General features: G+C 39.6%; 1 protein-coding gene and 1 long non-coding RNA gene across 17 annotated transcripts in view, besides 1 other annotated feature; one reads left to right on the forward strand and one right to left on the reverse strand.

The window, feature by feature from the left end:
• Positions 1-27,404, reverse strand: part of FMN1 (formin 1) — a 429,171-nt gene that overhangs the window by 135,507 nt on the left and 266,260 nt on the right. For all 16 annotated transcript variants that reach the window (XM_011521509.4, NM_001277313.2, XM_011521504.4 and 13 more), the window contains 4 exons: positions 25,124-25,211; positions 9,424-9,485; positions 7,440-7,528; positions 861-990 (listed from right to left, as the gene is read on the reverse strand). In XM_011521509.4, the coding sequence (XP_011519811.1) occupies positions 861-990; positions 7,440-7,528; positions 9,424-9,485; positions 25,124-25,211 (369 nt within the window). The remainder of the gene's footprint in view (positions 1-860; positions 991-7,439; positions 7,529-9,423; positions 9,486-25,123; positions 25,212-27,404) is intronic.
• Positions 17,506-18,074: an enhancer, noted in NCBI's record as "NANOG hESC enhancer chr15:33210757-33211325 (GRCh37/hg19 assembly coordinates)". NCBI's record gives its function as "activates a minimal SCP1, AML or CMV promoter by ChIP-STARR-seq in naive H9 embryonic stem cells {active_cell/tissue: H9 hESC(naive)}" and the evidence as "EXISTENCE:reporter gene assay evidence [ECO:0000049][PMID:30033119]".
• On the forward strand, positions 21,574-26,989 carry LOC124903460 (uncharacterized). The gene is made up of 2 exons (XR_007064575.1): positions 21,574-21,709; positions 26,840-26,989. It is a non-coding gene; the product is annotated as an uncharacterized LOC124903460 (long non-coding RNA).

Consider the following 27,404-nt stretch of genomic DNA (forward strand, 5'->3'; position numbering starts at 1 on the left):
GGCTGAGGCAGGAGAATCGCTTGAGCCCTTGAGGCAGAGGTTGCAATGAGCCGAGATCACGCTACTGCACTCCAGCCTGGGCAAGAAGAATGAGACTCCGTCTCAAAAAAAAAGAAAGAAAGAAAGAAAGAAAAAAAATTCAGCTCCAGGCAGACTTCTTTTTCTGCTCCTGCCTTTCAGGTATTATTAGTGCGTGTATAATTATATTTCAGTAATATTTATTCTCTACTGAAATATCTCATATCTTAGAGGAAAAAAAATCATTTCTCCAAATAAGGAACAAAGTACTACAGTATTTGTGGAGAAGAATAACGTGTCCTTAAGAGCATGGGTCAACTGTGAGAAAAAGGCAGGTGCTAGAATTTAACCTTATAATGAACACCAGTGTAGTAAAGCCAACAAATATTTCTTTGCCAATGACTCACTGTCAGTCATTTATTTCACTTATCAAGTCTCTAGGATCCTCTTATTAGGTTGACACATTTCAGATGATCAAATGTATGGATCTCAAGCAAAATCTCTTCTGCAATCCAAATTGTAAAATAAGAAACAGACCATGCTATTTAGATTGGTTTTTAGTGGCCAGTATGTACTTTGGAAGATACTCAGAATTTTTTAGAAGGAATCTGTAAAAGTGTCATTTTTTTCCCTCCTTCTCCCTCTTCATCCATCTGCATCTCCTTTTCTCTCCCTCTCTCTCATACACACACACACGGGCAAGATAATCATCAAATTTACACTTAGAAAAACATACAATCTGAGTCCAAAAAGGTTTCTATAATGGCATTAAAGTGGTCTCTCCCACTTTCTTCTTTACTCTTCAGAGCAAGGCTATCTTTTAAATTAGACAGTAAACATACCTTAGAAGCTCGCGTGATGATCTCTACCTTTCTGTGCAAGGAGGTGATACCCTCAGAAAAGACAGATCTGAAGATTATGCACTGGGCACGTTCAGCAAAATTAGGAATCTGGGCTAACTCATGTAAAAATCTGTAAAAAAGAAAATGTGTCATCTACCTTCACATATAATCACAAGGAAAATAAAAAGACAGCTGAAAAAGACCCACTTTGGGAACATTCCTTACCTAACAATCTCAACAATTATAAAAGGTGTCACATAGGTAGACTCAAGGAATTCCAAGGGCATGGTTTCCATTGTTGACAACAGGGCTGTTTTTTAAAGGAGTTCTAGCATGATGAATAAATGCATGGTATAGAAATTCCTTCGGGAACAGAAAGTTAACACAAGTATACTAAACAAGTTATCTATCTCCTGCTGCCCAAACAAGAGACTAAACCCAAATGGAAAGCCCCAGTCTTTAACACACGAGAAAAATTATGCAATAAACTCCCTCATAATGCAGCATTCTCTAAAGGTGTATTTATACAGGCTAAGCAAACTGAAGACTTGAGGCAAATGTCTACAGACAAGTGATTTAAAAAAAAATCTCTTACTAAAGTGATATTGCTACTATTTTTGCTCAGTGAGTTACATAATGGTCTATAATGATCACATTCTCCAGATATTTGTTTACTTTTTCACATTAACTTACACACATAGACATAGTTTACAACTCAGTATTTAGAACAAAGCAGGCACTCATTAAGTAGACAACCTAAAGTTTCCTTAAAAATGTGGCAAGACAGATCTTAAAAGCTAAAGGTGAGTACTGACCTACACACAGTAGCTCACTGTCTGAGTGGTTGGGCACTTGTTCCCTTTGCAAAACTAAGTTGGAAAGAGCGACATACTCTCCAGGCCAACCACCAGAGGAAGGGGTATAAATGAAAATGGGTGGAAACAGTTGGACATGAATTCAGAAAAGGAGAAAATCTACTAACAGCCATTTATTTCATTTTGGTGTTGAGATGATGATTAACTGATATTTCTGAAAGTCTTGGTCAACTCATAACGTCATTACCAAGGAATTTTGCCATCTCTCACCAAAAATGGTTTTACATAGGAACAAAGCTGAAGCCTACTTCTTTCTATACCGAAAGATATTTTCTTTGCTTATACACCCTGTGCTGCCTCTACCTTTAGGGAGATTTGGGTTTTAATTAATTTCTAACATCAATTGATTTCGTATTTATTCCACGACTAGGTCATAATCCACAATCTTTTTTTAGATGACATTTAATGAAAGCAAGGAATATCCATAAGAGAAAACACAATCTTGTTTTAAAGTTCAATAACCCATTATTATGAAAATTATCTGATGAAGTATAAAAGTAGAAATTCATAGGAATTCTGCATTAGGACAAGATGAAAAAGTTAAACTCTGTGTAAATTACTTCTTAATGAATATTAAACAATTTATTCATTTATCATGACTGAAATCAGGGGTATCATCAGTCTTTATAAATACATAAGAAGCAAAAAGCTCACAAGACTGACAGCATTTGATCCTGTAATGAGTCTGGGGAAGACGTATTTATTCAGATGCTGAGCTATTCTGAAAGAAGGGCCCTGCATTTCTCCCCTTCTAAATGTGACCCATGAGGCGTCATTCAGGACCCAAGTTCCCAGAGCATGTACACTTCCTATCACAGTGAGCGAAGCAGTTACAGACACCACCTGGGAAAATATACAGATCAATGCCTCGGCTCACCAAAAAGGACTTAGATGAAAAGCAGAAAATGCTGAATGAATAGTTACCTATAACTAATCTCAAAAGAGGAAGCATAGGACCAATATGAGGCGACAAGACCATAGTCTTATCAATGTATGTTACGCAAGAAAGGGTAGGATAGAATTGCAAGGCTCTCTAGGATTAAAGCCTTTCTGGGGTTAGGGCTTGCACTGGAAAAGCTCTTAAAGAATCTTAAATGTTCCAATGTCCTCTTTAAGCAGAAGGGTCTGCAACCCATACGAAGAGTTGGAGGGGGGAGAAAAGATCATAATTTTACATTACTTTTGGAAAGACTTGAAAATTCATACTAGAAGATCAGTCACCAAGAATGTCAGTCTGTCCTTTAGGAATGTATGAGGCATTTACAGTGTGTCAGGGACCATGCGAAGATCTGAGAACAGAGCTTAATCTACAGTCCCATCTTGATAATCTGAGAAGTAAACCAACAATTACTGTGGAGTGTGAATGAGTGCTCTCGGTGATGGATCCAGAAGAGGAGCTAGGAAAGCAAATGCAGGACACTCAAGTGTCATGGGGGGAACATTGTCAGCTAGGGTCCCCGGAGCCCTGTGATGCTCACGCACAACATGTGAGAAACTGCCGGGAGAGCCCAGATAGGCTGAATGGTATCTGTGGGGGAAGTGAGTAGAAGGCAGATGCTAAAATTGTGTTCTGTATTCTAAAATACAGGGTTTAAACTTCTGAACGAATGAAGGGTTCTAAACAGGAAGGTGACAGTTTCTGCTTTTTGTTGTAGAAAATCTCCATGGCAGCAGCTCAGCTGATTGGATGGGAGAGGAAATTTGAGGCTGGGAGACCTCCTAGACCACAGCTGTAATCTTCCAAGAGGAAAGGTAAGAGGGGCTTGCAGTGTGAATGGAGAGGGGCAAATGGATGAGGAAGCTGCTAAGGTAACAAGACCCAGAGCAACCTACTCCTAAGAGATGTTGTGAAGAGTCCAGGATGACTTTGCAGTTTTGGCGTGGATATTGGGTATAGCGAAAATACAAAATAATAAAGAAGCAAATTTGGAGGAAAAAAATAGAGTTTTATGACCCTTGCCATCCAAAAACAGCCATGCAAGGAGCACCATAGCTCCTCTCTTATTTATCTGCTAAGCTACCAGAGGTATGGGTTACTTTGAAGGCTGTGAAGCAAGCATCTGACAAATAGCTTCTCTTCCCCTGCCCTGCCCCATTACTGTTTTATCCTCTACCCACAAGAGCAAACACAGTAACTCTCTTAAATATTCCCAAGCATGGGATCTTGGACACTGGGCCTTGGTACTTCTGAATATTTATGGATTGAGTTCCTTTTGGGCTAGTCTAACTTTACATTCTAGGTTCAGTAAGAAAGAAGACTAAATATTCCCAAAAGAAGCCACAAATGAGGGATCCTTCCCTTCTTTCTCCAATGTAGGCTAATACTTCTAGGAAGGACTGCAACTTCAGCTTCTAATATATGAAAGACGTTCTGTGTCTCACATTATTTGGGTTACACATCTACAGCAGCAACTCAGCTGACGGGTGGAATGAAGCAATGTGGCTCATGTTTTTAAGAGACTAACATTTGATTTATTATCCCTAAATTTCTGAATGGTATCACCTAAGGTGTATGTGCACATAGGCGATACACATAGCATAACTGAATGTTGCAACCTGCATTCTTCGATGGAGGATTACACTAACAGAGTCTACTGTGTGGGGGCCCCAAGGCAGCTGTGGACCTTCATGAAAATCACAATAGACTGTGTATAGTGTTCTCACCCTAGGCCATGAGAAGTGTGTACCAGGCCTAATCAAACCCAGTAGAGCCTCACCTCACAACCATTACCCGGCAGCATAAGAGTCAACGGCCATCCCTAGAGGGAGTGGTTCTCAGACAGCCTGGTCCCAAACAGATGACACCTCTGTGGGCAATGGCTTTCTAAATCTGGCACTGGAGTGTAAGAGAGTTGATGAGGTGAGTGATGAGGCCAGCCTCTCCATGCTCTGATTTATAGGACTGGGCACCACAGGGCTCTTAGGAAACTGCAACGTTAAAACTATAAATGATTCATATTTTCCAGTATGTAAAACATGCTTATAGTCGACTCACTTGGAGTTAATGGCAAATAAGTTGCCAGAGAATCAGAGTGGCATAAATCAAACAAATGCTGGTTTGTGCAGGAGGTTGGTAGCAAAGGTGAAATGCACCCAGGTCTGAAGGCCCCCATCTATCCGTGCCTCACCCTCCCGCAACTGAGCCCAGGCAAGTCACCTCACCAGCACAGCATGACAGTCCTTTTTGCTGGGTTTGCGTGTTCACGAAGCCATTACAATGACCATTTATAAACATTAAAAATGCTTTTCTATCTAGATCATCAGTAGAGAAAACAAGAGTAAGTTGTGTGTTAATTACCTGCTACCATTATCTAAGTCCCGGCAATTAGAACAATAATTAGGACAGTAGCAGAAACGCATGATCTCTCCCTGCCTGTTCATTTCACCGGATCAGCCATTCCCATAGCTTAGAACAAGGGCTGCTCGGTGGTTAAGGGGTTGGCAAATTGCAGCCCACAGGCCAAAACCAGGCCACCACTTGTTTTTGTATGGCCCATGAATTAAAAGAACGATGTTTACGTTTCTAAATTGTTGAAAAAAGAGTCAACAGAAGGACAACATTTTATGACATGTAAAAATGACATGAAATTCAAATTTCAGTGTTCATAAGTAAAATGTCATTGGGGCACAGCGATACCCATTTGTTTATATACTGCCTGTGGTTGCTTTGGCACAGCAATGGCTGACTTGAATATTTGTAACATCCCGTAAGCCACAAAGCCTAAAAGACTTACTATCTAGTCCTTTACAGGAAAGGTTTGCCAACTCCAGGCTTAGAGGAGAATATTACTGTGTAACTTGGTATAACCAGCACTACCCAAGTGCTTTGATATGCCCACTGTGCCCCAATACAACCAAATGGCCTTTTCAGTGTTGAAACAGCCCATTATTAATCACTTTACTTTCAGTCATTAGCACCGTAAGAGGGATTCATTTGTTATAATAGGAAATATGACTTGGAAATAAACTATAGGATCAGTTGAGGGTAGGGATTGGTAAGGAAGGTGTCTCAAGTCAGTGGAACAAGACAGCAAGGGAACCTCACTTGACTTGATTCACAATATTCCTAGGCTTTAGAAACCTACTTTGAGGGGGGATCCTGGACCATGCTCCATGTGAGAGCAAGTCATCCAAGGTTCCCAGAACCATCATGTAGGTTTGTCGTCAACTGAGTAAACCCAGAATTCTCTTCCCAACTCCCATCCTCAGCCATTTAAGATGTTTTCCTGAGTCTAAATGTCCAGGCATCCATGGGGACTGAGGTATTCTAGAGCAGCTGTGCCCAACCTTTTTAGCACAGGGACCGGTTTCGAGGAAGACAATTTTTCCACAGGCCAGGGGTTGGGGTTGGAGGTGGGATGGTTTCAAGATGATTCAAGCACATTACATTTATTGTGCACTTTATTTCCATTATTATTACATTGTAACATACAATGATATAATTATACAACTCACCATAATCTAGGATTAGTGGGAGCCCTGATGGTCCCTCTAGCTTCCTGCAACTAGATGGTCCCATCTGGGGGTGATGGGAGACAGTGACAGATAATCATTAGATTCTCATAAGGAGCGTGCAACCTGGATCGCTCACATGCGCAGTTCACAATAGGGTTTGTGCTCCTATGAGAATCTGATGCTGCTGCTGATCTGACAGGAGGCGGAGCTCAGGTGGTAATGCCGGCTTGTCTCTCACTCACCTCCTGCTGTGTGGCCTGGTTCCTAACAGGCCATGGGCTGGTACCAGTCTGTGGCCCAGGGGTTGGGGACCCGTTTCTAGAGGACCCAAGGGACAAGGCATGGAACTCCAGTGCAAGCCGGAGAACCTTGGAAGTTTCTAGGGCTGACTGGTAACCCTGATCTGATAGCTCCATTTCTGCTTCATTTTCTACACTTGCCTCATCTCTAGATTGAGAGGGTTGGCCTGAACTGGACAAAAAAAATTCAAGGTAGCAACAGGCAAAAGAGGCCCTCTGAACCTGTGTCAGAGGACACAGGTCCTCTGAACCCATTTTACAGTCTCACAGAGTCCTAAGCCCTGGAAAGCTGGGCAGGGTCGTGGGGCTGCAGAGCCCCGGGAGCTTATCTATGGCTTCGAGACCCCAAGAGTCACTCAGTTACACCCCGGAGTTCTGGGTCTTCAAAGCCTATGGAACGGCATCACAAACAACAGAGCAAGCAGCCATAGATAGTGACTGGAGAGAAAAACAAGCATGTACAGAGTGAGGGTGAGAAAAAGCCACATTTGGGCAGAGCAGGTGGAGAAGTTTGGGGAAAAGCTAGCACATTCAGGCTGCACTTACTGGATATGACCTTTAGGAAAATAAACTTGAATTCTGTGACTCTGATATCATCTTTTTAACTTCATCAAGAGAACCTTAAACAGAACAATGCCTTCTTCCTTCCTCAGTTACCCTTTTGGTCAAATTGTTTAGTCTAGGAGGAATTAACAAGTTGCTAGAAAAAGAAAGGGGAGTCTCTTGGGGTGGGGGAGGGGGGTGAGACACACTGTATCCAACAGCACAAATCTCAGCGCTGCTTTTCCCGGCAGCAGGGTCATCCTGCTGCATGCAACAGGTCACAGGAATGACGGTGTTGTGATTTAGCTGGCTGCACATTTAGATTTGGTTATTCTGAGCTGGGAGACAAGAAGACAGAAATTGCAGTTCTCCTTTTGGCCTAACAGAAAAATGTTAAGTATCCTTACTGCTCAGGTTTATCCAGCAGCTTCAGTTCTTCTTCTTTGGATGTCTCGTAATACTTTCTTATTTTAACCAGCTCATCCTCTTGGGCTCTCTGTATCAAAATAGAAAACAAAACCAAAAAAAAAAAAAAAAAAAAGGGAAGTGAGACTCTGGCTATGGCAGTGGGTCTCAAAGTCTCGAAGTGTGGTTCCTAGACTAGCAGCATCAACAACATCACCTGTCACTTGTCAGAAATGCAAATTATTGGCCCACCCTAGACACAAGAACTTGGGGTGTGGGTGGGGGTGGGGGGATGCAAGCCCACTGGGTGATTCTGATGCATGCTCAAGTTTGAGATTCAATGCAAATGGACCTAACAAGTACACGCAGCTGGACACAGAAGTACAGCTATTTGAGCTCTACTTTTGAATCCCCCATCTCTTCCTCTGTAAGGAGGCTGGGGGAATATTGTTCTTAGAATTTGTTTCCTTACTCTTAGAACAGCCCTAAATTATATGAACTCGCAGCTCTTTCATTTCTAGTCAACAACGTCCCTTTTTCCAAATTTCGTAAGCACTCATTGTCTGTACCACTTATTTTGGCATTGAGTCACTTACTTTCTCAATTTATCCAACTATTTCAGTTGAATGAAGCTTATCTCTACTGTGAGCTAACAAGCGGCAACCATGTGCTTAGTCCTGAGCTCATGGTAACAACACAAAGCATCTGGAAGGTACTGCCTTTGACAAAGTTCTTTAACATGAACCACTGTATCCTCATTTTACAGATTATTCCACTGAGGCTTGTACTAAGCAACTGTTAAAGAGCTTCAGACTTGGAACTCCCTCTTTCTGCCTCTATACCTTGCTGACCTCCAAGTATTCAAGTGCATAATTAGCTCCCAATGGCCTGGTATTTGTGTACTTTCTGGTTTATTAACGAAAGCTTTACTAGTGGAAACGTGAGAAGTTCCGACCCACTTGTACTAAGTAGCTCCTGATACATATAAAGATGTGAAAATGAGCAAGGAATTGGTGATGCCACCAAGCCTAGACTATTAGACTATGGAAATCTTCTGTAAGAAACTTAAGGTCCCAGGGGACATAAATATGAAACGAATCATCTTTTGAACTGGTGACCACAGTACACTATAGAGCCCTAGACAGCTTCCTGGGAAATACCATTACTTAAGAGAATGTGGTTCAATCTATGTTTTTGTAGCCTAACAGTCAGTGAACCAAAACAATGAACAATCATGGGAATTCTGACTCTCCTGTGTTGTCTTCTCAAGAGAGCCTGACAATTCTGCTGGTTATGTCCACTTAAAACCCAAATCAAAAACCTTATATGTGTACAGTCCTGTTGACTTTCAAAATACATTGCTACTGCTACATATATTAAATCCTCATTTGACTAAAAAAAAAAAATCAGAGCCTACTATAATCCCCGCTATACTGATGATCACAACGGGATTAAGAAGTTTAAGTAACTAGCCCAAGGTCACTTAGCAGGCAATGGTAGACACAGCTGGACCTCAAACCTAAGACTGTCTCATTCTAAATCCAAAACACATACCTACCATTCTACACACCTTCCCACATTCAATATCATCAACTCATTTGGACTAAGAGTAATCATCCAAGCTGGTATTAGCAGTCCCATTCTTCAGAAGTAGACACCAGTGCACGCTATCATTTCAGTAGGCAGCTTACCTTCATTCACTTGGCCAGCAAGTGACAGGACTGGGTTCCAGGGCACGTAAATGGTGTCCACCTGAGATGCCCTGCCTTGCAAGTGTGCAATGAGATCTGCTAGCCCAGATACCACAGTGGGAGTCAGGAATCTAGTGCTTCTCACATCCACTCCCATTCAAGCTTGTGTTTCTATGCCTTAATCTCTTCCAGGCCACGTCAAAACCCTTACTACCAAAGAACATGAACAGCTCAGTCATTTCTCAGGTAGAAGATAAATATGGAAATACTAGCTCTGTAAGTCTTTGACACTCACGTTTTCATATAAGGCTGCCAGGGTCTCCAGATCAACCACGGAGTCATCCACATTGAAAATGGCTGCCAAGCACCCAAAAAGAAAAGAGGATAAGGGATTTGATTAGGTCCCCTGCACCAATGTTTACTCCACATCCAGCTTCCAAGCAATTAACAGAGTATTGCGTTTTCTTACACAAGCTGTGCCTCTCTGCTCCCCTTCCTTTCGCACCAGGGGTCTCAAATGAAAGAAACCAAAATGGTTCCTATCATTGGCCTGAGCCTTGGCTCTGCCTTGTTTAATTCCTCAGGCTCTGAGTCCTTTCTGCAGTTTAATTTAGGCTCCACAGGAGAAGTGTTTGTGCTTTAAAACTAAATCAGTTTGTAGGTTTGAAGCACAATTTTAAATCTTTCTTCCCGATGGTAATTGAAGAGATTTAGTACCTAATGCACCAGAACTGACTCTTGCCCATTACCAGAAAGAAAGAGAGAAAAAAGACAATGTTGGCAAATTAAATGAATTCAGGCATGTGATTTCAGGCACCTTTCCGTGGCCACTGCCAACATCTTGTTTGGATTAAAAAGACAAGAAAAAACAATAATTGCATCAATAGCAAATTAAGATTATGGAAACCTCCCATGAGCCAGTCTTCAGGCAGGCTCTCATTCCCATGGCTTTATTAGGATTCTACTTGTTCTGTATTATTTAAGATTAATTTAGCCGTTAACTAATATGCTTATGATTTCATCTAGAGAGGTACCTTCCCATAGATACTGGGATGCAAAAATTGAGACTTAAAATCCTTAATGGATTTGGCTATCGAAGTGTTTGAAATAAGCAGGTCCACATCTTTAAATAATTATTCAAAACTAATAAGGTTTGTTCCCTCAACCCTACCTCCCTTCCCTGACTTTACATTGTGAAATTAACCAGCACGCTAGTAAATTTTCTCCGTGGCAGGCTAATTAATTTTATTAAACCAACCAGTGATACTTAGAATGCCTTAAAATTTTGCTCGTCAACTATTTATTCTGTTCATTTGCATTACACCATGGTTTTTGGGAAGGTGGGGACCAAGGTAAGGGGCAGGTTGTTTTTGAGGTATTTTGCTTCTTCTGTGGTTTAGAATCACATGAACCCTTTCATACAATTTTAACAAAGCTAAAATTAACTGAGCTAAGATCATGGAACCTCACAGAACAGCAAGAAATGTACTTAAAATTCCTTTGCAGGCCACCTTCTCAAACTTAGGGGTTAATCAGCAAGCTATTCCTAGATACATGGAACAGAGAGAAAAGAGGAGGTTAATATGCTAGAGTCAAAGTAAGTCACCTCAGATTCCACCAAGACAAAGGAACATCACACATCCACAAAGGCCAATGTGAAACCAGTAAAGAAAAATGCAGTTTAAGGACAGAAAGAAAGGATTTGTCCTCTCAAGACTGTTATTTTGTGTGTGGAGATCACATAAATCCACTAATTTGTCAGACACAACAGGCATTTTTAAATGTCTAGTGCGTTGAAAACCAAAATAGCCAGAAACAATGTCTATTTTATGTAAATCTCAGTATTCTCTCACAAAAATCAACCAACATGAGCGCATAAGAAAAGGTCAAATTCTAAACAATAATCTACCAAAAATGTTTACATGTTAACTAATCATGCATCCTGGGTAACTATATATTACAAGCTTAGATATAATCAAATAATCTTAACTAATGAGAAAGAGAATGACCTGTGAGTTTCTTTTCCTAGTAAGTAAATACTCAGTTTTTAAAAGTTAATCAGTCTGGGGCCCAGGCACACAGTTCCTCAGATGGTATTGTCAGCTGTGCCCCTTCCAGTGTGTTCAGTAGCAGAAAAATAACACCCAGAGAGGTTGGGACTGAGAACAACCATGGGCTCTGAAGACATGGATTCATTCATTCCTCCATCCAGCCCTTGAATAAGTATTTGTTGGATGTGTACAGGATCTGTTCTAAATACTGTGGATTTTTAAGTTAGAAGTGCAAAGTACTTAATTAATCTCATGAAATTTATATCCCAGTCTGGGGACAGAAAATAAACAAGTAAATACATAATTTCAGATAACAATTTACTATGAAGAAAGTAAAACAGAGAAATGTACAACATTAGACAGAAGGCTCAAGGAAGGCTTCTTTGGGAGGTGACATTTAAGAGAAGACCTGCAGAGATCAGTTTTGTGGCTATCTTGGAGAATAACGTCCCAGGGAGAGGTAACTGCAAAGACAAGTTTCTTTTTCTGAAGGAACACATTCAAGGTATAGAAAAAAAAAAATCAAGGTGACTATCATGGACAGAGCAAAATTTACTCATTGTGTGATCCTGACATGTTAAATTTTCTGAGCTTCAGCATATCTATAAAACAGCTCTAATACCACTTAGTGAAAATATTAAGTGAGGTAAGATATATGCTTAGCATAGCACGTAGAACATGGTATAAGCCCAAAATGGTATATATGAGCTATTACTATCATGATTTCAAATATATACATTGTAAATGTGTTTTAATGCTTGTTAATGCCTTATCCCCTTTAACATCTGGAAAGAGTTAGAGAAAGAAAACTACAACTACTGAGTGATTTGTGCTGTAAATGCAACCTTCCCGAATTCTTAGGTGTTTCTGATCGCGGTTACTAGGAAACCCTTCCAGTCCTTTAAAACCCCACTCAAGACCCAACTTCAGAAAGCATTATTAACAGGAAAGGTCTATGACACAGAACTCTAATTACAAAAAATAATGGATCAAGTGTCTTAAGGGAAATGCCAGGTACCTCCAAGTCTGTATTATCATATTTTTATCTATAATTTCAATATTTCTCATCAATCCATCCTTCATTGTACCAAGGTTACTTTTTAAAAACATGGATTTCAAAATTTTACTGTGATGCTTAACATACCTCCAATATCTTCCTTTAAACACTCGGCGAAGTCTAAACTCCTTGGCCTGGTTGTTAAGCTCATTCCCTGCCTCGCCTCAATTACACTTCCAAACTCATCTCCTACCATGTTCTCCATGCACCATGGGTTCCAGTCACCCTGTGTCCTTCCCCATTCCTGAACATGCCATGGCTTCCTCCCTTTCTTCATCTCTCCATGGCACAGAGGTCAAAGCCCTGGAAGGACATCCTTTGACCCTCACATCATTAAGTCCTCAATCTTTTCCTCTGCCATGGTACCTCTCTCATATTTTACATAAGGTGAAGATGGTATACTTTAAGAATCTGTGGTATGTTGCATAACTGTTTCCTTCTCCCAGTAGACTGTGAAAGCCTTGCAGTCAGCAGTTGATTTCTTAAGCATCTTGATAACTGTCTCCCAGCATGGTACCAGGGGTGTAGCATGTATAACATAGATGTTTGTGGGTATAATTATACCATACGACTCCTGAAGACTGAGTCCTGCTGATGGGAGGAAAAGCTTCTTGACAAAGAGAACATAGGGTCTTAAAAAGAAACCAGAGAGCCTCTAAAGGGGCACAGCCTTATAAGGCATGTATCTGAATCATGGTTGTTTGCTTCTTCCCAATTTGACCCTGTCCAAAAATCAAGGTTTGGCCAGCAGTTACATAATTGTGCCCCCAACTCACACACTCGGTGTAGATTATACCGCTTGCCTGAATACTCCCTAACAAAAATAATTAACTTCAAAGATGAGTTTTCTCATTATTAGGGAATGAATAAGGAAAATATCTTTCCTTATTCAAAAAAGTTTTAAATAGCTGTATCTCCTTAGGAAAAATGTTGAGTAAAAGTTCAACTATTATATTGCTTTAGGCAGACACTGAAAACACTAATCTATTAATCACCAATAATTAAGCTAAATTCATCCATGCAATGACAATTTGTAAGTATGCAATACGTGCCAGTGAACGTAAACTGGAAGGATACAAAACATTCCAGCTAGAAGCAGCAGATAATAGGCTCACAAAATGTTTAGGCAATGGCAGGTAGTTCAATTTTGGTTTGAAGAGAGACTTAATTAAAGGGACTAGAAAGATACACTCCAAACATAGTTTGGGGTAAAACCTTGTAGAATTTTGAATGCCACGATGAACCTGTAATACACTTGTTATACAGGAGAGAGCTGTTGAGCAGTTATGAATGGAGGAGTAAATTGGACAAAATTATATTACACACACAAAAAGTCAAAATTTGAAAAGACTAATTTAGAATCTATTGTAATGGGCAAGAGGTAGCAAAAACTTGAATAGTGTGGACAGAAAGGATAGGGCAAAAAAGAAAGACACTACAGAGCACTATTATAGTGACATTGCTAACTAGCTCTGGGGACTTAGCCTGAAACCACTCTGAGGCTTTGAGCCTAGGTTTAGGGGAAGAGCTTTGTACCATCCCCCCAGAAACAGGCAGAGGAGTCTAAGAGGTGAGCATGACTACTGATCTGTCCCCCAGGGACTGGGAAAGGAATGGAGTAGAGAGGAAAGGACAGGTAAAAGAAGTAGATAAACAGATGAACTTAGGGCCAATGCCAAGTATTCCACTGAAGTTTCTCCTCTTCCACGGAAGGATCTTAAAAATAAAATCTAAAAAGTAAAAGAAAATTCAGAGGTAGCAGAAGCAATATCAAGAGATTGATACTGAGCCTAGAACTTATGGAGATTAAATTAGTTGTATTATTTCTAATAATATTGGCCTGGGAAGGTTAGGGTATCAGCCAGAAGTCTGAAAAATAAAAAGGCCTACCAAGTCCTAGGATGCCTAAGAGAACTGCCTTACATGTACATAATCCCATGTCTTAGTCACCAAATATAGTTTAGGTTCCTAGAGAGCCAGAATCCACACCTGATAATTCTATTCTCAAAATACTGGAACAACGTATTAGAGAATCAATGAATGCTCTCCGATTAAGTCATTCTTGCAAGCACTTACCATTAAACTTATTAGCCATTACATAAGCCCAATTAATTAGTTAACTAATTTGTAATCATAATGATCACAATGTGGAAAGAAGTCAGTCTTCAACTAAACTATTTTCGGCGTCACCCAAGATCAGATCGCTCCCTCCATTTTATACTTTGAAAACACTCACTTTCTGTCTCTGTCTCTTCCACGCATGTGTGTGCACACAGGCACACCGCTCATAAACTGAACCAACAAATACAAGCCTATGCAATTTTACAGCAAGCCTCAAAGCTCTGATACAGTAATTCCAAGTAATCCTACTTTTGTTTCCATCTGTATAGGTCTCATTATACTAACACTCCTGCAGATGGTGTCAGAAAGGTGAAGTGTCAAGTCCACAAAGGGGAGACCCCAACAGCTCATTGCTACTGCAATATCAATCACTGCTGGTGGTTTTTACTTTTATCTCCTTCCCTCCTTAGTTGTCCCACTCACACTGTCAGTTCGGTTAGAATATTTCACCTACACCTCACAATATGTCAAAAGGAAGTAGACACACGCTGTGAAAAGCTGGTAATTTTATTAGATTCCTTTACCTTTAAAAATCTGTTACTTGGTCAAGTCTGGTTTCTGGGCTTCTTTTTTGCAGGGAAATTGAGGCAAACATTTTTATGTGGTCCTCTGGTGCCTGCTCTGTACCACAAGAATTATATACACAAGGATCATTAGAGTAGTGTTTCGCCCATTAAGATATAATAACCGTCAGCAGGGACAAAAAGCAGATCAGTATCACAAATTCAAACTAACAGGCACACATAAAAACTATGTGCCTGCTTTAGGGCACATGCAAGGGGTCAGGGTCTCATACAACAGGGAAAATTCCCCCTCCGGGTAAGAGATGGCTTTTCACAAGACCAGGGTTAAGTAGAAAGAACATGCAGGATTCTCTCAGCTCTCCAGCCATTTTTCAACCCTGAACACTTCTCTCTCCAAGTGTACCATGCCCATATAAACAAAGAATGCACTTGCTGTTCGAAGGGCTTCTAATGAGTAAAAAGACAGGCAGAGTTATTTAAGGGAGTTGTTCTCTTTGACTGAGGGAGCACCTCTGAGCAAGAAGCATGGGACACGGTGGTGAGAAAGGCATACCTTGTATAGTCTGTTAAGATTAGCCAAAGTAAATCTGGTCATCCGAAGTGTGGGAGATGCCACAGGTAGGTAGGGTTGGGTTGGCTCACCAGGTTTCGGCTGACGGTGGTTTTGAGAATGATTTGTACGTAGCCTGTTTTATTCTTCTTTTTATTTCCTTAAGTGACTGATGTAAGCCTCTTGCACAAAGCGGGTATGTAATAATGTTTTGCAAATGGACTAGATATAGTCTGGTCCAGCCCAGGAAAGCAAAGTTTGATAGGATTACTTGACTCTATTAGCAGAAATTATTTTGTTTACAATGTTAACTCTGCAACAGCCAAAATAAAACTTAGCTGCTTTGCCCAAAATACTGGTATTTTTCAGAACTCGACAGAAATTCAATCAGTAAGAGAAAGAGAACAGAGCAGGGAAAGAAATATAGAAGGACTTGGTTTTTTGAAACTCTCATGTCACCTATATCCCACAAAACTCTGACAAACCTACTCCGTGACCTCTACAAAGGCAACGATAACATGGGGTTCATGGGAAGAGGCAGTAGTACAATCTGAGAGTTGAGGAAAGGGAAGGCAGAAACATCTTCCCACAGTTTTCCCTCCCAACAATGAGGTCATCCTTGAGAGCAAACACCAAGTCTATGAAAAAAACTGCAAGAAGTGGAAAGAAGGGGAGCCAGTAGAGAGGGGTGTGGAGCGTGGAAGGACCACTCGGAGGCAAGGCCAGGGGACCGTACAGATCTGCTCCCGCTGAAGAGCTCTGTAACAAGCCTCTTCAAAATGGTCATAGTTCTCCTACAACCTATACCTTGTGTTTCTCCTACTGGACACTAGGTTCCACCTCCAATAAGCACCAGGCCTACCTGTGCAAACCCAGATATGCACAAATCCTCACTCTATGCAAGTATCCAAATGAGACGCTTAAGGGCACCAATTAAGTAGCAGCTTAAAAGAATCTCTGTCCACTCCACCACAGGGTGAGGACAGCAGGCAGACTTTATTGGGGATTAATACTTAATAACTGATAGAATTTATTGGCAGCTTCCTCTGTACCAGGCATTGTTCTAAGTGTTTTGTATTTAATCATATGAGGCGGGTGCGTTTGTTGTTTCTAGTTTTACAGATGATGAAACTAAGGCACAAAGTCACACTGCTTGGTTTCCCAAGCTCAATTCGACAACCACCCCAACTATCCTCCAAGGCAGTGGTAATTTACTGGACAAAGATTGTACTTCATTTTCATAGATGTCAGGCTATAAATAATCATTCCACTTAAAATCCTTACCATCTAAAAAAAGTTTCAATGAATTAACCAATTAAGAACAAACTACCCACAAAAGGCTACAAAGAAACCAGGGTCTCTAAATGGCATCATATGCTTTTTACATTGATCAGCAATCCCAGAGTGGGAAGCACATACAGCCCATGTTATGAAAATTTCATTTATTTAGTATATACATTCATAGTTCCACCATTATTTAATTCATGCTAATACATGGTTCACTTCTAATACGCTATTGCAACATATGCAATGAAATGATTAAGCTTTAATCTTTGTTACAAACTATTTGCAGTTCTTCAAAAATAATCAATATTGCAGCTAAGGCACAGCAGACAGAATTTCTTTAAAAAAAAAAGAAACCTGGAACTTGAAAATACCTTACCTTAAATAAGAAGAAAATAAAATCTCTAGTAACATAAAGTCTAATTTTCTTGAGTATATAACAATAATTGTAATTTTACACTGCATGCCAAAACTGACTAACAAGGAAAACTAAGGCACACAGCACACGAAGAAACACAAACAAAAGTTGCATCCAAACAGATAAAAAAAAAATCAAGAGACTATAGTATAGTTTATAATCTTATCTAAATTGCTAAATGCCTGCTATTGTGTCATGTTAACCTGGGCTCTGATGGAGTAAGAGACAAGTATAAAACACACAGTGAACAGGAGCTGCCTGGGTGGTGGAAGAAATGGACAATCGCAAAAGGGATACTTATCTAATCTATTACAAAACTTCAAAATCACTCAATCTCATAAAGCAAAAATCCAAATTGTCTCCTAAGTCCAGGCATGTACTATGCCTCAAGTTGCCCAAGGTCTCCTTTTACAGGCGCAATTAAGATTGTCCATGGTTCAAACCTCAAAGAAGGGCACAGGGCATAGAATTCACAAAACTTCCCCTTCTATATCCCCTCTATTCTCCAGAGGGCAGTGGAATGAGAAACAGTTTGGGTTAAGCTGCTTCTGTTCGTCCATTAGTTCTGGTTCTTTTAAGCCAAAATTACATTCCAGGCAGATTGGATGGTCTCAGCCAGTTGCCTGAAGGTAAAGTACAAAGAAATGCCACCCTCTGCTTTCTGGACTCAGCTCTGCGAGTGAAGGAATGCAGAATGGTTTAGAAAGGGTAGGTGGGAGCCCCGCTGCTTAGGTGTTTTAGACACAGCAGGAAGGAGGAAAAGGTGGAAAAGGAAAGGAAAATATTAGAGTGACTACTTATATTTATCTAACATTTTAAAAAATTTAGCTCTACCTATATTTAATAAGTTAATTGAAACTGCCCATTTATTTAGTCTGTATGTCAGCAGGTCAGGGTCACATGGCACTTTTGGTGGATAAACTCTTTCAGACGTGGCATGCTCACTTGTTCCTTTGCTTTCAACATATTGTGATGGGGGGGGTATTAAATGAAGTTTTCTTATTCTAAAATCTGGTTTTAACTAAACTTCACAAAATAAACAAGTTGGCTTCAAAAGCCTCCTGCAGTGAAACCCCAGATTTAAGATAATCCATCAACAATAGGAAAATGGTAGAGCAGACACTTTGGTTGCTAGTACAAACTCTTCATCAGTTATGGAAGTGGGTAAAAACAAGGATAGCCAAATGGCACCCGCCAAGAAGTTGATCCCCATAAACAGAATTTATCACTAAGGCTACTTAAAATGTGGGTTTAACTTCATTACTGTTAATAATGAGACTCATTGTAATCGCATATTGAGCCTTGAGATATCAGGCTCATAAGAACCCAAAGCCATCAAAATTAGCAAGACATTTAAAAATATTACTAATCTTATTTTAATTCATATTTTTTGCATATATTTTATAACATGCATATTAGTTATGTCCTACACTTATATTTTAGAAAATAGACCTTGAGAAACATGCACTCAAACTTTTTACTGTTGGGGTGCACGATAAAAAAATTCTGAAGACCAAAAGCCTTTTGAGTAGACACTCTTCTAGGCTAGACTGAGATTGTTCCTCAGGAAAGTCCTAGATAAGTTATGTTGGATTTCAGATGCCTGGTCAAATTCATTACGTTTTAGACAACTTGCATAAACTTTGACAAAGATTTCTGGCAATTATTAAGGCAAAAGGAAACAAGGTCCAGCGGGCATTCTCAGACCTGGGTTTTAGACTCTGAGCACATAGCTGACATCCCTTTTGTACACTTTGAACTGAGATTCCCAAACAGAAAGAAAGCCAATGTTGCAGCTGATCTCTCAAACTGACGTTCTGAACTAGTAAGAACTAAATAAAGGATGTTTTATCTTGATGTTATTTAAATATTATAAATATTAATTCTGCGTGTATGGGAAATTCCAAATGAATGCCAGGAGGTTTCTGGCATCTAGTCTGTTGCAATGCATATGAACGTTTATATCAAGAATAGTCAACAGCAATTTTCTATCTCCCCTGGGACAAGAATAAGAGGAACTCACTAACATGGAATGAAAACACTAATTTGCAATCATGTAGGCAGTCACTGTGACCAAGGATGCCAAATGCTTTTAAATATAAGTCATCCTATCTAGCAGATGGAAAACCAGCAGTAAGTAGATTACTTATTCAGAGTCTCTCCTGGACCAAATGCAAGTGCTTTTGGTATTATGGTCACCCTCCTGAAACCATTCTTCCTCTACAACCAAGGCTTTTCCTTTAGTGATTCAGTGTTTTCACTTCAGCCAGCATATGGATTTGGCTTTCTTTTACAAGACATCAAACACTATCTTGGGTAGAAATAAAGGGATAAAGGTTACTTTTGGGAGTATGTTATGTCTAACCTAGCCCTATCCGCTTACCACTAGCACAAAGGTAGATTTTTAGATGCTCACCGAACACTTTAGCTGAGATGTTTCCACTCATCTCACACTCAAATCATCCAAAACAGAATTTACCTTTATGCTTCAAGCCCTGCGTCTGCACCTGTGTTTTCAGTTTCTGGCTTGGGGCACCATTATACACATTCCTGCTGAAGCCAGAAACCCAAGGTACAGCCAAAAGTCTTCTGTATTACTCCTTGCATCTGATGTGAGCAACCGTAGCAATTCTCTCTCCAAATATCCCTCATACGTGGTCTCTTCTCTACATTTCTATAGACATAGCTTCAGTTCTGACCTTTGTCATTTATCATCTGAACAAACACAATCCCTTCTAAAGGATTTCTCCACCTTCAGTCCTATTTTTCTTTATTCATTCAACAGGCACTTCATGATCATCACCTGGGTGCCAGACACAGGTGCAAGGTGCTGGGGATACATCAGTGAGCAGTCTCCTTCTCAGAGCTTATATTCTCGTGGTAGATGTAAATAAAAACATAAGTAGATGAACAAATAAAATATTAGTTGCTGTGAAGGAAATAAGAGTATTAAATTAGGATGACCTGTATTAGGGTGGGAGGACCTAGGCAGGCTCTCCTAGGAGGTGACATTTAAGCTGAAACCTAAAGAAAAACACCTAGCTACATAGAGAGTGGGGTGGAAAAGCGTTTCAAACAGAGGGAGCGTGCAGAACTGTTCATTCAAAATGTGTTGTGCATGCAATGACAAAGAGTAAGAAAAGTACTTGGCCTCTGTAAGAAATCAAAGACCACTGTAGTTGGCTAGAGTGCAGTGAGATGAGATGCAGGTGGGACAAAGTGAAATAAGAGATCTATGTTTTGGCCAAGCATGGAAAACATTAGAGGCCAGTCTTCCATGAACAGTGTGATAGATATTGCTGCATTCAAAATCAGATCACAACATGGCCCTTCTTAGATTTCTTGTCCCCATTACTGATGCAATAATATAAACATTTCTTGTGATGCTATTCATGATCTTCCTGGTCTGGATGCTGCTTGTGTTTCTTGCCTTCTACCTTAAAACAACCCACATTCATATATACAATCTATATACTCCAGCTGTGTCTTTTTTTTCTTTTTTTTTTTTTCGAGATAAGAGTCTTGCTCTGTTGCCCAGGCTGGAGTACAGTGGCGTGATCTCGGCAACCTCCACCTCCTACGCTCAAGCAATTCTCCCACCTCAGCCTCCCAAGTAGCTGGGATTACAAGTTTGTGCCACCACCATGCCTGGCTAATTTTTGTGTTTTTTGTAGAGATGGGGTTTCGCCATGTTGGCCAGGTTGGTCTCGAACTCCTGGGCTCAAGCAATCCACCTGCCTTGGCCTCCCGAAGTCAGGGATTACATGTCTGTTTTTCACGTTTTGTTTCATGCTCTTTCCTCAATTGGAAAAGCTCCATCTCTGTGTGATGACCACTATTTCATCCTCTCAGACTTAATCTTAACTTTTACAGGAAGAGTCAAGATACTGCTCTGTTATTTCATAGCCAATTCTACTATAATGTTGGGCTGCTTTACATCTCTCCCACCATCCTGGGTGTGCCTGAGGATGTTAGAGCCTGATCTTATGTGCTGTTGTAGTCATGACACCTGATGCGGAGCTGGCACTCTATACAGTTTTATGGAAGGAAAGAAGGCAGGCAAGCAGGCAGTTTTGTCCAAGTGCACTGGAATAGAATACATGGCATTCTGATCCTATCTAGTTTAAGATTAAGTCTGTATTTTTTAAAAATTGAATTAAATTCAACGAACACTTGAATATATGACTTTTATGCATGACACATTAGCCCAGTTATTTGCAAACAATGCTTAATCACCATAGAAATTCCTGGCAAAGAAATGCATAAAGGAATGAACACTAGCCCTGCTCCTTGTTACCTGTCAGATGTTAAGGTATAGAGAAGCAAAACTCTTCCTGAATGGAGAGTGTAGGCTGTGTTAAGGAGAGCACAGAGAAGTGCTCCTCTTACAAAAGAAGAAGAGAAGATTGCTCTTCAACAGCCAAACCAGTAAAAGCCACATGATCTATTTGTGGGAGACAATTGCAGACTGAAACACACAAAACTGTTATCAAGGTGACAAAGCTGCAATCTCAGAAAAATTGAAATGTCATTGCCATTTGGAAAATTGGAATGCCTGAAGCTATCCAGAAGGCCTGTAAGTACTTCTATTCCTATCAACTTAATGGTAGAGTTTTCCAAGAATCACGTACTGTATTTTGTCTCTAAACCTGTTTATGCCTGTTTCTTTGCATTCAAAAAGATATTTACCGTGTGCTTATTATGCATATGCCGAAACAGAGTGATGGAAATGACATTTTAATGGGGAAAATGGCAGGTAGAGGCAAATGATGTGGAGAAAACAATCAATAAATGTGACAATTTTTTTTGTTGTTGTTGTAAGAAGGAATACTCTCCTCTAAGTGAATATACTGGCTTGCTGGTTTATACATCAGCTTCTTGTGAGTTTGGAAAGTATGAGTTAATCCCTCTGGGCTTTGTGCATGGCTAAAGGTGAATATACGACCACAGGGCTGAAGAACACCCTCTGAATTGTCATTTCACCAGGGCTGGTCGGCTGTGAGATCTTGCCAGGCGGCCAGCTGGCCTCCTCCAGTCATATCTAACCATAGCCCCTCTCACATTAAAATAAACTTTTTAGGCCAACATCAGCACAGGGAGTCCTTTCACCAGGGTGACAACACAAGGCCAAGTACATTCCACACACAAATTCAGAATGAAATATAACTGATACAGCCTGGGCTCCTAATGACCTTCAGATGCCAGTGTCAGTCAATGACTCCAAAGGAAAACTAACCTCCAGTTATAGCGCCATATTCATCTGGAATGCATTACTAAACGAAGAAATGGAATGGAGATGATTTTTTAGAACTTAGGAGCCAACTTTGTGGTGGATCACAGAGGTGCTTGAGGAAGGAAAACGAACAATAAAGTTCCCACAAGGACTAGAAGTCTGTGATGCTACAGTCAACATTCGGACGCTGAAATGAAAGTTCACGTACGCTTCACAGAAGCATGTTCTTATCTAGAGTATAACATTGGAAAAGGTCTGGATCGACAAATATCTTTTCAAACTCACAGTAAACATTCAATCTAATAAGGCTAGAATGCCATGGGAAAGTTTACAGTCCTGAGCTGGTAACTGGACTATCACATGGCTGGAATGACTTCTATCCATGGGGAAATCTGACGCACTGCAGTAGGACATGCTTAAAACAAACGGAATATAGTCTAAGGTTATATGGACATTGTGAAAACTCACATCCACAGCGTTACACATCATGGTGATGAAATCAAGCACACTTGAGTTTCACCAGGCTCATGGAGACCACTGTCAAGACCGTTCTGTGATACCTGAAGAATCCCTAACTTCAATAACTGCTTCAAAACAGTCAGTCCTTTACCAAAAGACTATAAACTCCCCTGAAAACATTTGTTTTTGTTTTTCTTTTTTTCCCTCTGCTCTAACATCACATTCTTCTGATGTGAATTTTTCAGAAACTCAATTCTTCTGGAAGATCTAACTTGAGATTCTTCTAAAGTCCCTGAAGAATCCCATTCTAATTTCAATGACAGGCCTATTTAGCCACCCTCTGCCAAACTCACTGTATCTGAGGTTTCATATTCACACTTATGTATTCAGCTCTGTTAATGAGCTTAAATACGATACAGCTTATCTGAATGCTCTGTGATTATCATTTAAGATGTTTTAGTTTTTTGTGGAATTTTTAATTTTTGTAATGTAGCGAAATTTTAAGTCCCTAACAATGCTCCCTTGAATGGAAAAGTAGCAGGTGATGTGAAAGTAACTTAAGTGTCTTGTAGGTCAGGACCTATGGGTATTCTGCTGAGTAGCAAAGTCAAACAACTAAACAACATGAACTGAAACCTAAAGGGCCGTGTGGTGTCAGATGTTTCCACTGTGAAACTCATACTAAATTCTACTGAAACCATCTAAGAGATTGTATTATCACTCAGCAAATATAAGTGAAATGTCAATATAAAGATTTACATTTGCTGGGCATAGTGGCTCACGCCTGTAATCCCAGCACTTTGGGAGGCCAAGGCGGGTGGATGATCTGAGGTCAGGAGTTCGAGACCAGTCTGACCAACATGGAGAAGCCCCATCTCTACTTAAAAAATTAGCTGTATGTTATGGCGTATGCCTGTAATCCCAGGTACTTGGGAGGCTGAGGCAGGAGAATCACTTGAATCCGGGAGGCAGAGGTTGCGGTGAGCCGAGATCACGCCACTGCACTCCAGCCTGGGCAATAAGAGCAAAACTCCGTCTCAAAACAAACCAAACCAAAAACCAAAAAAACCCCCAAAGATTTACATTTAATTAATTAGTGAGAAAGGGGAGTATTGTTTTCATGCGAGACACAGATTTTGAAAAGGTATCATGTGTTCTGGTCTACTTTTCTAGATACTAATAAAAAATATGTGCACACAAAATCTCTTCTCTTTAAATGTCTTTTATCTAAAATTGAGCCAAAGATAACCAAATAGAAATAACAACATTTTGAAAACGAAAGGATGAAGAAACAATGACGTAACCAAATGAAGGAAAGTATTCCTCCCTAGAAGTATTCCAGCTAATAAAGAAGAAATGATGGAATTAGTACATCATTATTTTGAAAACTTCTATTGAAATAATAAATCCAGGCAAAGATAATAAGTGCTCACTAACATCACAGATAACTAAATATTATGCACTTCTTGATAGAAAACATAATAGCATCTATGATGTATTCTTCCACTCAGATTAAGTCTCTAGATCAGACAGTTTATAGAAAACAGGGGACAGGGGAACATGATAAATAAAAACATAGCAGCATCATCAGCAAAACCTAAAATGTGGGGAAGTCTACAAGACAAGTGACCTGGTTTCTTCAACAAGTAAATTACAAAAGGGGAAAAAATGGAGGGTAGAAACTTCTAGATTAAAATAAACTTGAGAGACACGTCAAAGGCAATGCATGGAATTTGTCTGGATCCTCATTTAAACTAACTATAAATGAATGGATGAATTAATGAGTATACAAACAACAGGGACATTAGAACCACTTATGTGATGATACTGAGTAACTACGATTAATGTCTTTGAAGGAAGGATAATGGCACTGGGTGGAGTATTGTTTGGAAAAGTACCCCTGGGCCGGGCGCAGTGGCTCATGCCTGTAATCTCAGTACTTTGGGAGGCCAAGGTGGGCAGATTGCATGAGCCCAGGAGTTTGAGACCAGCCTGGGCAACATGGCAAAACCCCACCTGTAAAACAAATAAATAAATAAAGTATCCTTATTTTTTAGCAATAGTACTAACATTTTTAACAGATGACTTATAAAGCATCTGAAATTTGCTTCATAACCTACTTGGTGAGAGGGGGGCATTTTCAGATAAAACAAGAGTGAGTTGATGGTTCTGTAGCTGAGTATTGGGTATATAGGATTCATTAGGGCATTCTAACTTTGTATGTGTTTGACATTCTTCAGAATGAAATGTTTTTTAAAAAATGGAAAAAGTAAAACAAAAGTGATAGAAAAGACTTACCCTGTTGGATATCCTTCATTTCTAAATGTAAACTAGATATCAAGATTCCCACAGTTTGAGATCGTTTTCCATCCAACAATTTGATGATCTAAAATTAGAAAAAAAAAAAAAAGAATACAAGCTCAAATGACCATGCAGTCTTTCAGGACGCACACCAAAAACATTAAATTTTTTTAGATACACTGATTGATGAACTAAATTGATGCTGCATGCACTCTTTAAATAATACTTAATTGGGAAGTAACTTATGCACAATTATAGACATCTTACACAATGACAGACGTTTTACAAAACAAACACACAAAATTCCATCAGCCTAATACAAACGCTAAATCTTTATATGTTACTGTGATCATTTTACTCAAGTACAAAGTTATACCAGCATCAAGATGTACAGAATGTGGTATCCATCTTTTTCACTTATCACTGGAATATTTTCATGTTGCTACTGGTGAAGTCACTTCATAGCCTCCAATCTTTTTAGTAATGTCATCTTCTGAGTGATTTAGGGGAAAAAGCATGAACAGCTGAGTCAGCCACCAGTGATATGGCCTTGGTAAAGTGATAACCTCTATGAATTGATTTCCTCATCATGAAGGGCTGACTATATTTAGTCTATATTTTATTTTGAGAGAAGGTCTAGCTCTGTCACCTAGGCTGGAGTGCAGTGGTGTGATCAGAGTTTGTCTCAGCCTTGACCTCCTGGGTTTAAGTGATTCTCCTGCCTCAGCCTTCAGAGTAGCTGGGATCACAGGCAGGCGCCACCACACCCAGCTAATTTTTAAATTTTTTTATAGAGACAAGGTCTCCATAAAAACTTCATTGCCCAGGCTGATCTGATCCCAAACCCTAAATTCAAGTGATTCTTCCATTTCAGCCTTCCAAAGTGCTGGGGTTACAGGCATTAGTCATTGCACCTGGCCTATACATTTATTTTAGAAATTAAATGACTATATGAAAAGCACTTAATATAGTTCTTGACATATATTTATTTAAAGATTTTCTGTTTCAGAGAGGTTACTTCCTATTTGTTATTATTAATATAAACAATATAATACCTTGCACACAAAGCTCTAGTTTTAAATTAATCAATTAATTTTTGAGATAGTATCCAGCGCCGTCACACAGGCTGGAGTAGAGTGACGCAATCACAGCTCACTGTAATTTTGAACTCCTGGGCTCAAGGGATCCTTGCACCCTCACGAGTAGCAAGCACTATAGGTGCAGGCCACCATGCTTGGCTAATTTTTATTTTTTTGATGTTTTGTAGAGGTGAGGTCTCACTATATTGCCAATGCTGCTCTTACACTCCTGGGCCCAAGCCATCCTCCCACCTTGGTCTCCCAAATTATTGGGATTATAGGTGTGAGCCACCACACTTGGCCTTAAAATTATTTTTTATAATACTATGTATTTTTACAATCTTCATAGAAACTCCACATACCTCATTGCCAGTTATTTCAACCTTTATGAATATTCCATGGAGAAGTCTACATAGTTTTGTGTTTCTCTACAACTAGTAAACCAAATCAGCTCCCTGGTAACATATCACGAAGCTGCCACTAAGGGAAAAAAACTCTCTTTCCTCTCATGTGGCAGGGCTACAAAAATAAAAGAGAAGCACCCACAAAACACAAATCTTACAAATGTTTTTAATGTGCTTTGCTGGTTAAAATACAAACTAGGCTGAACAGCTGTGCTTTCCTTCCCACCTAGGTACTTACAGAATTGCCAAACTACTGTGAAGACAAGACTAAACAGTAACAAACATCTACATTTGTATTATTACTGTAATAGCTGAGTTGCTTGCTGGTTGAAAAGTAAGGGACAACAATAGTTTGTTCCAATAAAGATGATCTAACTGCCTAATTGTCTAACTACCTGTTGATTAATCGATCTTGAATCAATTATTGCCAGATATTTTTTTCCTTTACCTGTTCAGAATGGCTACTTTCATATAACGATTAGACCTAAAAGATAGTAAATACTAAGTATTAATCAAGATGTAAAGGAAAAAAATCTCATTTTTCAGTCAATATGTTTAAGCATGTCAATATTCGCCTTAGAAAGATTCTTGAGGCATACAGAATTTTAGGAGTTTTAAACAGAAATAGAGAAGGTACTCAGTAATTTTTTATATGAAAGGAAAAGCAAAAAAAAAAGGCAATTAAGCATAATACAATATCTTCCTTAAAAATGCAATTTCTGGCTTTTTCTTAGAGAACCCAAATTTAAAGTCAAATGATTTCTTCATCTAATAAAAAAATTAAGAAAAGTCAAT

This window comes from Homo sapiens, chromosome 15 (genome assembly GCF_000001405.40).
Source record: "Homo sapiens chromosome 15, GRCh38.p14 Primary Assembly".
In the NCBI taxonomy this organism is placed as follows: domain Eukaryota; kingdom Metazoa; phylum Chordata; class Mammalia; order Primates; family Hominidae; genus Homo; species Homo sapiens.